Source organism: Homo sapiens, chromosome 7, assembly GCF_000001405.40.
Source record: "Homo sapiens chromosome 7, GRCh38.p14 Primary Assembly".
Lineage (NCBI taxonomy): Eukaryota > Metazoa > Chordata > Mammalia > Primates > Hominidae > Homo > Homo sapiens.
Window position 1 is genome coordinate 153,505,428 of NC_000007.14, and position 15,594 is coordinate 153,521,021.

Here is a 15,594-nt window from a genome sequence, read left to right on the forward strand (position 1 = left end):
TTGCAGACAGCCTATTGTGGGAGCTTGTGATCATGTAAGTTTATACTTAATAAACTCATATATATGTATTTTTTCTGCATTTCTTACACTTACCTGACTACAGCTACATTTTATGTGATATCTATCAATAAAATTAGACGTGACTGGTGTGACTTCACAAGCTGTAAGTTTCTAAATGAGTGGGATTTTACACTGCTACATTTGTGATAATTTTTTATGCAGTGATAAAATACATTATATATAATATGTATAATGTATATTATATATGTATATATTATACATTATATATTTATATATTATATATATACATTATATATTATATAATGTATATATGTATACATATAATACATATTATAATTATATATGTAATTATATTATATAATGCATATATTATATATCATATATGATATATATTTTATATATATTATATATACACACATACACATCCTATTAGTTCTATACCTCTAAGGAACCCTATTATAGATAATATACATATTATATGTATATATTATCTATTATGTATATATAATATATACATATTATATATTATGTATATATTATACATATATAATATGTATATATGATATATTATATAATGTATATATTATATATAATATATGAGATATATATTATATATAATATATGAGATATATATTTTATATATAATATATGAGATATATATTTTATATATAATATATGAGATATATATTTTATATATAATATATGAGATATATATTTTATATATAATATATGAGATATATATTTTATATATAATATAGGAGATATATATTTTATATATAATATAGGAGATATATATTTTATATATAATATAGGAGATATATATTTTATATATAATATATAAAATATATGAGATATACATTTTATATAATATATATAAAATATGAGATATATATTATATATATTATATATAATATATGATATATATTTTATATATAATATATGAGATATATATTTTATATATGTTATATATAATATATGAGATATATTTTATATATATTATATATAATATATGAGATATATATTATATATATTATATATAATATATGAGATATATATTATATATATATATTATATATATACACACACACACACATACACATCCTATTAGTTCTATACCTCTAAGGAACCCTAACACACAGCCTTTGGGGATAAATGAAGTCACACACACATCTGCAATGCATAAATCAGCTTAAACATGAAACTGCTTCAGAAATACTAAAATGTAAAGAACGGTACACTTTACTATAGCATTATTATTATCCCCCCTTTAGAAGATGTAATGCACATAGTTACAGGAATTCTCAGGGAATTTAGTCTTGTTCTCATTTAGCTTTTTTATTCTGCATTTCTTACACTTACCTGACTGCAGCTGCATTTGTGTGTGGTATCTATCAATAACCAATAGAAAGATGTTTCTGGTAATAAATACTGAGAAATATTGTCAACATATTAAAAACACATGGCTGAAAATAAGACCTCACATAGCCCATCCGTTTTTTGCTTCTGTCTTTCTCTTTCTGACAACCTACGGCTGAGTTTTGAACCTTCAGTGGAGAGCAGTTTTCTCTCTGCTTTTCAATGGAGGAGAATTCTTTTTCTTGTTTCGTAGAGCCATAGACTGTTGGGTCTACGAGGGACTGTGGTGAGCGCAATTCTGAGATTGCTCGCAAGAATCCAGGCCTCGGGTGAGCACACACCTTCTTCCATTTACTGAAACACTAACCTATCTGCTGTTGTGAAAATATTTTGCAGAGGTAATTAATGTCTCAAATTAGTTGACCTTAAAATAAGAAGAGTAGGTGGGTCTGACCTAACTGGGTGAACCTTAAATGGGAAAGGACTCTTTTGGAGCATGAGATTCAAAGTATGAGGGGCATTTGATGCATGAAAAATTCTCCTTTCCTGGCTTTGGAGAAGGAGGGGGCCGTGTGGCAAGCCAAAGTGACCCCCACTGACAATCAGCCAGGAAGTGGGACTGCAGTCCTGCAACCACCAGGAACTGACTTTTGTCACAACCGTTTGAAACGAGATGACAATGCTGTCTGGTGGACATCCCTATTTTGGTTTTGTGAGACCCTGAGTAGAGACTTTGGCCACAATCACAACACGATTGGACTTCTGACCTCCAGAGCTGTAAGCTTCTAAATGGGTGTGGTTTTAAGCTGCTACATTTGTGATGATTTTTTATGCAGTGACCGAAATCTAATACATGGACATGTTTTTCTTTTTGCAGATGAGGAAGCTGGGGCCAGGGGAAGTGAAGAAATGCATCTTCCACTTTCTTAGTGACTCCCGTGGGCACTATGCCCATGTCCAGTGGTGCGGCCATGGTGTGCATATGGGTCTCTTTCAAATGACAGTTATTTTTAAGGAAAGAAAACACCTGGCTTTCAGTGAGAGTAATCAGATAAAGCTGCTTATGTTCACTGCAAACCTCCCCTGAGGTAATGAGTGGGAGGCCCTCAGTGGAAATGTCAGAAAGGCCAGCACTTTATGCTTTATTTTCTTTATTCCCGGTCCAAAATTAGATGCAACTGGTGTGACTTCACAAGTGCTGTCCTCGGTCCCAAGCCGGGATGTGGCCACTGTTTGCCAGGGATCCTGCTGCAAAGGATTCCAAAGCTTGGCTCCCAGCCCAGATGCCCCTGCACTCCTGAGGCAGAGGCTCTGCAAGTCTTCTCCTTTCTCATTCCCGAGGCTGGGGCTTCATCCTTACAAAGTGTCCTTACAAACTCCTCCTTCCAAACCTGGCTTCTGATGAGAGGGTGCAGAGAGAAATTGGGCTTTGGAGGTAAATGTATTCTTCTCTGTATTTCATTATCTCCTGGCACCTAGCACTAGAGCCAGCCTCGCTCAATGGGCATAAAAATAAACATTTACATTTGACAGTTCATTGGTAAAATCTGAATCTTGACCTCAAGGTTTGCCTCTTTGCAACTGGTCAATCCAGGATAGATTCAGAAAACCACAGGATGGGATTTAGAGCATCTATGACCATTAACTCAGACTTGGGCTAATCTGAATAGGCAGTTCTTATCTAAAGGGAAACTCACACCACCATCATTCATTTACATTAAGCTGTCTCTCCAAACTCTATGACTGGTATATCCAGTCTACTAGGTCCTCTAGAAAATGCCTGAGCAGGCTGGGCATCGTGGCTTACACCAGTAATCCCAGCACTTTGGGAGGCCAAGGAGGGAGGATCACTTGAGACCAAGAGTTCAAGACCAGCCTGGCCAACATGGTGAAACCCCATCTCTACTAAAAATACAAAAATTAGCCGGGTGCGATGGTGCACGCCTGTAATCCCAGCTACTCAGAAGGCTGAGGCAGGAGAATCGCTTGAACAGGGAGGCAAAGGTTGCAGTGAGCGAAGACTGCCCCAGTGCACTCCAGCCTCGGTGAGAGAGTGGGACTCTGTCTCAAATAATAAAATAAAATAAAGAAAAAAAGAAAATGCTTGAGCAATAAATACATAAATAATAATAATGTATAATTTATACTCTGAAATAGCTTATAGGCAATAAAATACAGACTAGAGCTAAATGACATAATTTGAGATATAGACAAAATCTACTATGTAATGTCCTAAGCCAGAAGAAACACTGTGTGCTGAAGTTGATTGAGCATTTTTGTGGAAGACCTAAAACTTGAAATGGATCTTGAAGAAATATTCAGTTTTACAAGCTTATTCTTACTTCAGATAGACATATGGAGAAATGGATCCATTAAAGAAAATTTGGAAAGAAGAGAAGAGATTTAAGGAGGCAAACGTTTCTTACAGTCCCCCAATCCTTAAATATCCATATGTAACAACCAGGACAAGGTAGCCCATTATCTTGGTTTATTCCATGTATCTCAACCAGAATTTATCCTCCATCAGGCACTAATACAGTTTTGAGATGTCTTAAAAATTAAGCACAATTAGGAATAAGAAAACATTTTTAAAAGTATAATAACCCTTCTAACGCCAAGTAAAAACCTATTGCTTGACTTCAGCTTATTGATTTTCTTCTTCTTAGCTTCCTTGTTACCAAGGCAAAAGAGAAAAAGCATTAACTTACATTTCTGCTACTTTCTGAAGACAAACTTTCTGCTTTATTTATCAGCTTTATCCTGTTACTGAATTCAAATGAGAATGCAGTCAGGAAAACCAGGTAACATAATGGACAATGCATTTAAATACACATTTTTAAAACATGTAGACATGTTGTCCAAATGGATGAGTGTATACCTCTCAGTTATATTAGTTGCCTGCAAAATTATTATTACTATGTTATAATACAGTGTGTGTTTGTTGTCATCCAATGTTCCGGCTTCATCTAGCAAAAAATCATTAAAAATCCATGGTACTGTCAGTGAATGTGTGCATTAGATAGCCCCTCTCAAATATCACATATCTCAAGTGGACCTTCACCAGGCGCTGGATTGCCATTTATCCATATATGAATTCTCCAGCCTCAGCTTGCAGCACGGAAATTCTTCGTGGCTCATTAACATACAGGAGTCTTATGTGTTACACACCAGTCATGCATGAGGAAGAGCTGTCATTCTGATGTGTAAGACTAAAATTTAGCACAGTGAACTGCAGGGGAATCTGAAGGACAGGAATTAAAAGTAATGAGATCTCACTTTTCAAACTAAAATAGTCTCCTCCATATTATGGGACATAGAAATCCAGACTGTCAAACACATGGTCCAGTCAAGGGAAAGTGCTCATCAAATTCTCATTAATTTATTTACTGATTGTACTGACTCAGTCTGAATATAATTGCATATTAGTGGATCACAAGAATGAGTAATATATAAAATTCATAGCCGAACAATCTAATAAATTTTCCTGGGACTGTTGTCTATTTAAGTCTCTCAGTATATCCAACTACAACAATTTAATTTTCATCTATTTGAGTCTGTGAAGCTTAATTCAAACTGCACTGGCTTTGAATTTTAAAATGGTAGTGATTGCAACCAATATATTTCTCTGAAAGGAGAACCAATCTAGGGCTTTGATAAAAATGCTGTCTATTCTCCCCCTCAACCCTAGACCACAGGGCGGGGGCAGGCATTTCTCCTTCACGCTGTTGAAGGGTAGAACTTTTCAAGAACGCGGGAGAAGTCAGAGCCAGTTTTTGAACACATAGTAAGGGTGCTGATTGGAGGGTCATTTCTTCTCAAGAAAATTACTCACAAAGCTGCTTTATTGGGGTGGTTTGTTTAAATATTTTTTTCTTTCTTTCTCTCAATTGCTTATGTCCTGAGAAATGAACTTGACGCAGAAACCAGGGCTGTAGATACTAGTGACTACCTCCTTTATCCAGGGTGGCTTTTGCTGTGTAATCTTTCTCTGTCCATCTTCCTGTGCTCTAGGAATCCTGTCTCCTCAGATGTTCCTACGAAGAAGTAAACTATCTCGAAGAAGTAAACTATCTCTGAGAAGTCTCAATGTTGAACTTTATTCTGGAGAGACAGGAAAGGCCTATAATTAGAGCAATGCTTGAGTTTATATCTACTGTCTGACAAATTGACTTTACTATAAATTAGCTAAATTCCAAAACCATTTTCAGAAATAAAAATATCTTCCAAATTTAAAATGAGTTGTAAATGTATATTAAGATTAATTAAACATCCTTTGTATTGTTTTTATACATATTTTAAAAGTAACATGGGCAGAGTAATTATGTCTGGAACATGCTCACTTCTCTGGGTACTGAGGTCCTAGTGATCGCAGAACAAATTCTGCTAAGTGAACAATATTCTCAGTTTTCTTTATTTTTGCTTAATTTATGCTAGATTTTCTAATTTTTTTTTTTACAAAATAAAACACATAAAATTCTTTGGTAAATTAACAAATTTGTATGCTACAGATCATTGACCATTTCCATGTTATTCTATTCCACTGCAGAAAATAAATGTATCCATTAAAAATGCTGAGATATTAAAAAGTACAATTATGGAATTTCAAAATTATATTTTTACACTATTTGAGGTTGCTCCATTTTATTTATCAGGTTTCTTGCTTTTGAAGGAATAAACTTCAGCCCCTTCTCCTTGCATGGTTTACTTTCAATTACAATTTACTAAAAGCTATAAAATCTAAAGTTATTCTTGTCATATTGGGTGTTGAAAATTTTTGAATAAAATGATTTGCACCTGAGAACATTTAAAATCTAGTCTTTAAGAAATTTTGAAATATACAATGCATTATTATTAATTATAGTCACCATTCTGTGCAATAGATCACTAAGGCTTATTCTTCCTGGCTAGCCAAAATTTTGTAACCTTGGATCAACATCTCCCTTTTTCCCATCCACCCTCCTCTCCTGCCTCTGAAAACCACCAAATTGGTAAGTGTATTAGGTGATGGAGATGTTAATTAGCTTGCTTAAATCATTCCACAATGTAAGCATATATCAAAATATTACATTGTACCCCACAAATACATACAACTATTATTTGTCAACTAAAAATAAAATAAAAATTTTTGAGAAGACTTGAACCTGACTTTGAAGATCATGTGATCCAAATTTAGAGGCTGAGTTTACTAAAAACTGAGTTTAATGCCATGGCAGGACCCTGAGGTTGATTTATAGTGAAGTTCTTCAAAGGCTTATGCATTTCTACTATTGGACTGATGATAGACCCAAAGACAGAATGTGGGTGTCACTGGGATCATGTATTTCATTGGATTCAACATCAGCTTTTTTTAAACAAGATTTTGTAGTTCAGTTTCTCTCTCTCACTCTTTCCATTCACACACACATACACATTTAAACAAATTGTAATATTTTACCAATCCAAATAGAAGTTACCATAGTTTTCCTAATTTAGGAAAATATTGTTTTTACATCACTCTGCTCTACCAAAATTTGCAGTGCCACCACAAAACCATTTAATAAGTAAATACAAAATATATAAAACTGTTGCCATTTATTTGTAAAGTTCTACTGCTGTTGAAGGAATCAAAGTATTAAGTCATTCCTTGCTATTTTCTTACACACACACACAGACACAGAGAGAGAGAGAGAGAGAGAGAGAGAGAGAGAGAGAGAGAGAGAGAGACAGACAGACAGACAGATAGAGAGACAAATTTGGAGAAGAAAATTATTAACGACGAATTTAGAAGAATAGTTCTCTGATGAAAATAAAAACTGCCCTGCAGAATGAAATGAAAATAGTTTCTGTAACTGTTAAATCATTATTTGGGGCACAGATCTTTGTGTCCTGCTTTCATGTGGTCCGTGACCTTATTCTGACTTCTGAGACTGGGGCTCTACACTGCCTTCCTGCTAGGGTTTGGAATCTTGCCTCTGAATCCGAAACCCAGTAGCTGGGATCTCCTAGCCGTTCCAAATCCCCTAACATAAACCACCCATCTGCGTGTTGGAATTGATGCGATTGTTCTCCATTCCCCTGCTGGGATACCATCCACTCACGGGATTTTCCTTCTCCGTTTTGCCTTGCTAAACCACCACCAACCCTCTAAGGCCCCTTTCTCTGTGATGACCATACAATTGCCTCCTGGCCAGCACTCATCTGTCTCCCTCACTCACCCTGTGATAAATCGAGGTGTTGCCTCTCTCCTCCATTAGCCTTATTCCATTAAGCTAAGCATCTCCGTTTCCTTCTCACCTAATATGCAATGAAAAGCTGGCATCGTTAGAGGAAGTGGTCAAGAGAAAAATTTGTTAATAATTAATTTGAGGTATTTGAGGATATAGGTCACCTTTAAAATCTACTTTTCACAAATGCTTTCCCAATTAACTTCACAAGTGATATTTTATATCCTGTCCAGAAAAGTGGGTTCCAATCTTTGCCAAATAATTCTGGAAGCAAGGGACTTTCTCTAGGGGAGTTCCCCTGGTCATTGAGTGATAGTGTAGGTAAAGTTACTTAGTGTCACTGTGACGGGGACCTGGCGAGCTGGCAGGACCAAGGGGGTTTCTCTCGTTCCTGACATGATTGTTAGAGCTGTAGCAGGATCCCAGTCTCATGGACCCAGGATGAATGGCAGGCTCCCGGCAATGGATTAAACCAATAAGACAGAGACCCAGCAAACAGAAGGACTTGGATTTAAGGGTGTTTCAGAGTTTAAAAAACACATTCATAAACATGTGGAAGCCTCCCATACAAGGGATAAGGCACAATGCATTTATTAGGAACAATAAGTAAGGTCAAATCAGACAGCCATGGTGTCAAGACCGGGGCTCCTAGTCCAAAGCTGATTGAGGATATTACTCCAGGCCAAACAGACTTAGGGATAGTTGGAGGATGGTTTATTGAGATTATCAGAAAGAAAGACCACTCCCAAAGCAACTCATATTCCCTTGGGAGCCTCCTCTCTTGAGTAAAGAAGCGGAGAAGGCGTTCCAGCCTGGGGTTTATTTGAAGGGAACAGCTTGAGTAAGCTCAGAGAAGAGAGAAGCTTCTCAGAAGGGGGTTGGATCCTCCCCACTCCCAGACTGTGAGTCTCATACCTGTTATTTTTAGCAGGAAGAAATTGGAGACCTGAGCATCAGGTAGAAGTCTAAGCTGGAGCCCAGTTGAGCAGTGTGGAGAAGAGGAAGGAGGAGACGAGGTTCTCCAAGCAGTTATTCTGGAAGGAGAGGATGCACTTTGGTTCATTTTGGTGTGAGGGATGGGGCACTGAATGCAAGTGGAAAAGGATGATGGGTATAATGGGCTCACAAAGAAAGGCAGATCCTCGCATTTCTTTTAGACAATAAATGACACTTTTCTTCTGGAGGACATAAATCCAAGAGAAACTGCATTCCAACATGTGAATAAAAATGTTCCCAGGCTCAAAGGCTCTTACAGTACTCAGCATGCAACAAAACTCCGGAGAAGAAAGGGCCCGCCTTCTGAAACTGCTGATGGAGCACAGAAGAGAGATGGAGCAATAGGAGGACCTTGATTTAGACAGAAAAGAGGCTTCATCCTTCGGGTCCGTCCTTACCATTGCTGAGAAAGCAAGACATTGTGGTTGTTCCACTGCACACAAGGAAAGAAGAATAAACAAATTCAAGAACAAAATAAATCTACATGCGATGCTGTCATGCAGGTGACGACGTCCCTGTTTTCACTTACTTACTAACGTCCCTGTCTTGTTAATGTGACCATCCCTCAACTAGTTTTGGCAATTTAAGAGAGATCATAGCATCTAAAAATCTGGGCGTTAGAGGGAGACCGTGTGTCTTCATTTACCAGCCCCTCCACTGATTACCTGGGCCACTATGGGCAAGTTACTTCACATCTTAGAAACATTTCTTCCTCTATAAAATGAATATAAGCAAAAAACAACCCATAAAAAAATTGGGCAAAGGACATGAAAAGTCACTTTTCTTTTTTTTTTGAGACCGAGTCTCACTCTGTCACCCAGGCTGGAGTGCAATCGTGCAATCTCAGCTCACTGCAACTGCTGCCTCTCAGGTTCAAGGGATTCTCCTGCCTCAACCTCCCAAGTAGCTGGGATTATAGGTGCCCGCCACCACGCCCAGCTAATTTTTGTATTTTTAGTAGAGACGGGGTTTTACCATGTTGGCCAGGCTGGTCTCAAACTCCTGACCTCAAGTGATCTGCCTGCCTCAGCCTCCCAAAGTGCTGGGATTACAGGTGTGAGCCACCGTGCCTGGCCAAAAAGACACTTTTCAAAAGAAGATTTACATGCGGGCAACAAGCATATGAAAAATGCTTGGTGTTACTAATTATTAGAGAATGCAAATCAAAACCACAATGAGATACCATCTCACACAAGTCAGTATGGCTATTATTAAAAAGTCAAAAATTAACAGAGGCTGACAAGGTTGCATAGAAAAGGGAATGCTTATACACTGCTATGGGGCATGTAAATTGGGTCAGCCACTGTGGAAAGCAGTTGGAGATCTGTCAAAGAACATAAAACAGAATTACCATTCGACTCGCAATCCTATTATTGGGTTATACCCAAAGGACTATATATTGTTCTATTATAAAGACACATACACATGTATGTTCATAGCAGCACTATCCATAATAGCAAAGACATGAAATCAACCTAAATGCTCATTAACAGTAGACTGGGTAAAGAAAATGTGGTACAGGTACACCATGGAATACTATACAGCCATAAAAAAGAATGAGATTATGTTCTTTGCAGCAACACGGATGGAGCTGGAGGCCATTATCCCAAGTGAACTAACACAGGAGCAGAAAACCAAATACTGCCTGTTCCCATTTAGAAGTGAGAGCTGAACACTGAGTACGTATGGACACAAAGGAGGAAAAAACAGACACTTGGAGTGGGGAGAAGGGGGAGGATAAAAAAAAAACTACCTATCAGATACCATGCTGATCACCTGGGTGACAGAATAATCTGTATACCAAACCCCTGCAGCACACAATTTGTTTATATAACAAATCTGTACATGTACACCTGAATCTCAAATAAAATTAGAAAAAAAAAAAGAACATAAGACCTTTTTGACTTGCTAGGTTTAGTAAATAAAAATACAGGATAACCTGTTAAATTACTATTGTAGATAAGATACAGATCCTTTTATGTACGGCTCTGTCCCAAATATTGCATGGGGCATAATTATACTATTTATTTGTTGTTTATTTGAAATTTAAATGTAATTGGGTGTTCTGTGTTTAATCTGGCAACCCTAACAAAGTTTCATTTATCATCCTAAATAATTCCCATCATGAAATGCTAACATATTGTGTGGGTATAGTAAGCATTAAAATATTAATTACCATTGTTTTCATTCTATAAAGATGATCTAGAACAAACTACATATACAGTAAGTTAGGGAATTGAGGCTTACAAAGTATATGCTACTTACCTGAGATCATGCACACAGGTTTTTTTTTGTTGTTTTTTTTTTAAATTTCATTAGTGATAAAACTGAGACCTCTAGCCTCCTCACTGCTGATTTTTCTACAGCATCTAGGTCAATCATCCTGGTGAATGGGAAATCCATCCATAGCAGTCCTTTAATTATGCCTTCCCTGGGCCTAATGCTGTGTCTTTACTATGAAAACTGTGGCCAGAGCACCAGCAGCGACTGCACCTTCTGGGAGCTTGTTAAAAATGTGCAGTATCAGGCTTCATCCTTCATCAGAATCTGCATTTTAAACAGAATCCCCCAGGGATTTGTTTTGTTTTGTTTTTGAGATAGAGTTTCACTCTTGTTGCCCAGGCTGGAGTGCAATGGCGCGATCTTGGCTCACTGCAACCTCTGTCTCCTGGGTTCAAGCAATTCTCCTGCCTCAGCCTCCCGAGTAGCTGGGGTTACCGGTGTGGGCCACGACGCCTGGCTAATTTTGTATTTTTAGTAGAGATGGGGTTTCTCCATGTTGGTCAGGCTGGTCTCGAACTCCCAACCTCAGGTGATCTGCCCCCGCCCCCCTCGGCCTCCCAAAGTTCTGGGATTACAGGCGTGATCCCCCAGGGATATGTTTGCACACTAGCGTTTGAGGAACTCTTTCCTGGCTCAGCCTCAGGCCTGTCTCCAGCCTTTATAAGAGTGGTTCTTGTTCCTGGCTGTAGATTAGAATCACCTGAGCAGGTTTTAGAAACCAGTGGTATCTAAACCCTGCTCCAGAGATTTTGACTTCATTGGCCTTGGGGTGGGCTCGGGGAATTGGTGGTTTTCTTTCAACTCCCAAGTGCTTCTAATTGTCTTTGCTTTGAATCACTGATTTAAGAAGAGCTTTCCCACCTAAGGCAAAAGACACTGAAATAAATCGATGTCTCCAATGACATATATTTTCCTTCAGCATTGACAGACTGAATATATGACCAGACCATATTAAAAAAAAAATAGAACTCTGACCCACAGTCCTCAGCAATCAGCCCAGGAGGCCAGCCCATTCTCTACAGCGAGCTTATCCAACCTGCAGCCTGCAGGCTGCATGCGGCCAAGGATGACGTTGATTGTGGACACAAATGCGTAAAATTTCTTAAAACATTACGAGATTTTTTTTTTTTTGCCATTTTTTTCTTTTAGCTTATCAGTTATCGTTAGTGTTTGTGTATTTTATGAAAGGAAAATATCTTGGAGCCCCGAAATCACTAAGCTAAAGGCAAAAGTCAAGCTGGGAACTGCTTAGGGCCAACCTGCCTCCCATTCTGTTCAAAGTCAACCCTCCGCTCATTGAGATAAATGCATCTCTGATTGCCTCCTTTAGAGAGGCTCATCTGAAACTGAAAAGAATGCAACCGTTTGTCTCTTATCTACCTACAACCTAGAAGTCCCCTCCCCAGTTTGAATTGTCCTGCTTTTCCAGACCGAACCACCATTCATCTTACATAGGTTAACTGATGTCTCACATCTCCCTAAAATGTATAAAACCAAACTGCGTTCTGACCACCTTAGGCACATGTCATCAGGACCTCCTGAGGCTGTGTCCTCAACCTTGGCAAAATTAACTTTCTACATTAACTGAGACCCCTGTCTCAGATTTTCGGGGTTCACAATTTCATGTGTAGCCCAAGACAATTCTTCTTTCAGTGTGTCCCAGGGAAGCCGAAAGATTGGACACCCCTGACTACAGAAACCAGTCCAGGAGAAGCCAGCCTGCTATCCACAAGCCAGACTTACAGGCAGTCAGACCACTTTCTCCAGCAATCAGTTCAGGAACCCAAACCCTAACCCCTCTAACAACTGGGTCGAAGTGGTCAGGGCTTGATTAATATCTGACAGCGTCTCAGATTTTTAGTTCCACTTCTAACTTAAGACCAATCAAGGAAGGACAAATATGGTCCCCTAACCAACTGCCCAGCATGCCCTTTTTCTAATTAGCCGACCCCAGCTTCTCCACACCAACAGCCCCAAGTAGGGGCACCCCTTTCTGCCACCATAAGGCTTTCCCACTGCCATGCCTACCTTTGAGTCTCTGCCAATACACGAGCAATGCTGGTTGACTCCCTTGCTACAGCAAGTGCTGAGTAAACAGTCTTTCTTATTCTGGTTTGGTTGGTCTTTGTGTTTGTCCTCAGCCTGCTGCTGGAGATGAGCTGGGTGCAGGATAAGCATGTGGGTCAGAGGGAACAGACTTTCAATACACTGTGAAGACTTCTATGCTTACCCTGCTACTCCTTTCAAGCCTGCCTCAGCAAACAGTGGGATCAAAGTTAGATGGACTCAGCCATTTGCCTCCTTAAGCCCCCAAGTCCTGCTCCTCATTTCTCCTCTGTCATCTGACCTGCCTCATTCTGGCCTGTGCTTCTGAGAGTCCTTGTAGGGCATAAGCTCTGGAACTTGAAAGGCTTGGTTTGAACTGAAGCTCCATAGATTAGTTGTGCAACTGCGAATAACAGGATGAATCATTTTGTGCCTTGGGCTCCTGATTCTATCTCTGGGGGTGTGGTGAGAATTAAACAATGGATGCCTCTGAAGTGCTTAGTCCTGGCGGGGCTCAGTAACTTCCCTGTGAGCGTAAGCACCGTTCTCATCATTCTGCAAGGGGCTATTTTTTCTCCTCACTTTGTCACTCAAGCAAAGACAAAGACTCCCTTCCTGCTTGAATCAAGGCATTGTATATAATATAACTTACTAAAGGTTGGAGAAAAGGCAGGGCTGTATCAGTTAGTTTGACTGCGGTAACAAAATGCCATGGGCAGTTGCCTTAAACATTTCTTTTCTTTCGGTTCTGGAGGTTAGAAGTTCAGGGACCCAGCTGATTCCATTTCGGGTGAGGGCTCTCTTGTTGGCTTTCAGGGGGCTACCTTATTGCTGTGTTTTCATCTCAGGTGGTCTTGTAGAAAGAGATCAAGCTCTCTGGTGCCTCTTGTAAAGACAATAATCCCATCGGATCAGGGCTCCAATCTTACGACCCCATTTAATGTTAGTTACTTCCTTATTCCAAATACAGCCACACTGGGGGTTAGAACTTTAACATGAATTCTTGGGAAACAGATATTCCAGTGCATAACAAAGATACTTTAAAGAGAAATAATAAACATAAAAGTGCCTATTGGCTGGGCGCAGTGACTCACGCCTGTAATCCCCACACTTTGGGAGGCCGAGGCAGATGGATCACGAGGTCAGGAGTTTGAGGCCAGCCTGACTAACATGTTGAAACCCCATCTCTACTGAAAATACAAACAATTAGCCGGGTGTGGTGGTGCACACCTATAATCCCAGCTACTCGGGAGGCTGAGGCACAAGAACTGCTTGAACCCAGGAAGTGGAGGTTGCGGTGAGCTGTGATCATGCCACTGAACTCCAGCCTGGGTGACAGAGCGAGACTCTGTCTCAAAGAAAAACAAAGGGCATATCAGACATCCTTGTTCCAATTGGGCTCTTTGTGGTTCCTGCTGCCGGAGGCCCCCTGGTATCTCATTCTCTTCTCAATCCAGTGCAAGTGAGGCTCACATTCATTGTTTCGAGGAGCTGCTCTTGTTTCCAGAATCCAGGGTCTCGTTGTTTCCAGCCCCCGTCCTTTGGCCTTTCTGTCACCCAGGCTTTCCAGAGGCTGGTAATCAATTAACATGTGAACGGCTTCTGGCCCCATAGGCACCTTTTACAACGTCAAAGATTGCTATTCAGCTCTCCCTGTTTCAATAGCTCTTTACCTTACTTCAATCTTTTCAGGATAGAAGACATCAGGTTTAAAAACCCACTGAATTATCATACCTTCATTTGTTCAGACCTATTCATTGAGCTCCCGCCATGTACCAGGCACTGTGCTGAGTGATGGGAATGTGGCAGTGAGTAGACAGAGTGCCTGCTCTCACGCAGTGAACACTTGAGGAAGAGAAGAAAGCTGGCTTAGACCGGGGGTCAAGGAAGACATGTGAGGGAAATGACTTGTCAGCTGAGGTCTAAATAATGCAAGTTTTCTTGGTTAAAGGCACATGTGTGGGGATGCCTGGATGGAAGGGGTAAGGAATTGGAGAGACCATTCCGGAGAGAGAGACTACATGGAGAAAGATCCATTATCAGAAGGAAATAAAACATCAGGACTTTATCGGTATATTAGCCAGGGTTCAACAAGGAAAATAGAAACCACCTGTAGTTCTTAAACCAGAAGAAATCTGGGAGGAAATTGCTTACTTTGATAAAGGGAAAGCTAAGAAACCAAAGAGGTGACCTTATGCCACAGAAGGGATTAGCAACAGCAGGCAGCTGTTCTTACATTTCAGTTCTTAAATGTAAGAGATTTTGCACTTCAAAATACACCATAAGAAAATTCGAAGGTAAGTTACAGGCTATTAGGTAATATCTGCAAATCATACCTCTGATAAAAGATTGATATGCCAAATATATAAAGAATACTTACAACAACAACGATAGCAACAAGCAACTCGACTTACAAATGGGCAAAAGACTTGAGTGACATTTCACCAAAGAAGACATATAAATGGTTACTAAGCATTTGGAAAGGTGTTAAACATCAATAAACATTAAAGAAATGAAATGAAAACCACTTCACACCCACTAAAGATGTCTACAATTTTTAAAAAGACACACAATACAAAGTTGATACTTCTACATTTAGAAAACCTGGAACCTTGGCCGGGCACGGTGGCTCACGCTTGTAATCCCAGCTTGGGAGGCCGAGGTGGATGGATCACCTGAGGTCAGGAGT

General features: G+C 39.4%; 1 long non-coding RNA gene across 1 annotated transcript; it reads left to right on the forward strand.

Moving 5' to 3' along the window:
- Nucleotides 1-1,630: 1,630 nt before the first annotated feature.
- On the forward strand, nt 1,631-2,910 carry LOC105375579 (uncharacterized). The gene is made up of 2 exons (XR_928189.2): nt 1,631-1,706; nt 2,255-2,910. It is a non-coding gene; the product is annotated as an uncharacterized LOC105375579 (long non-coding RNA).
- Nucleotides 2,911-15,594: the final 12,684 nt, after the last annotated feature.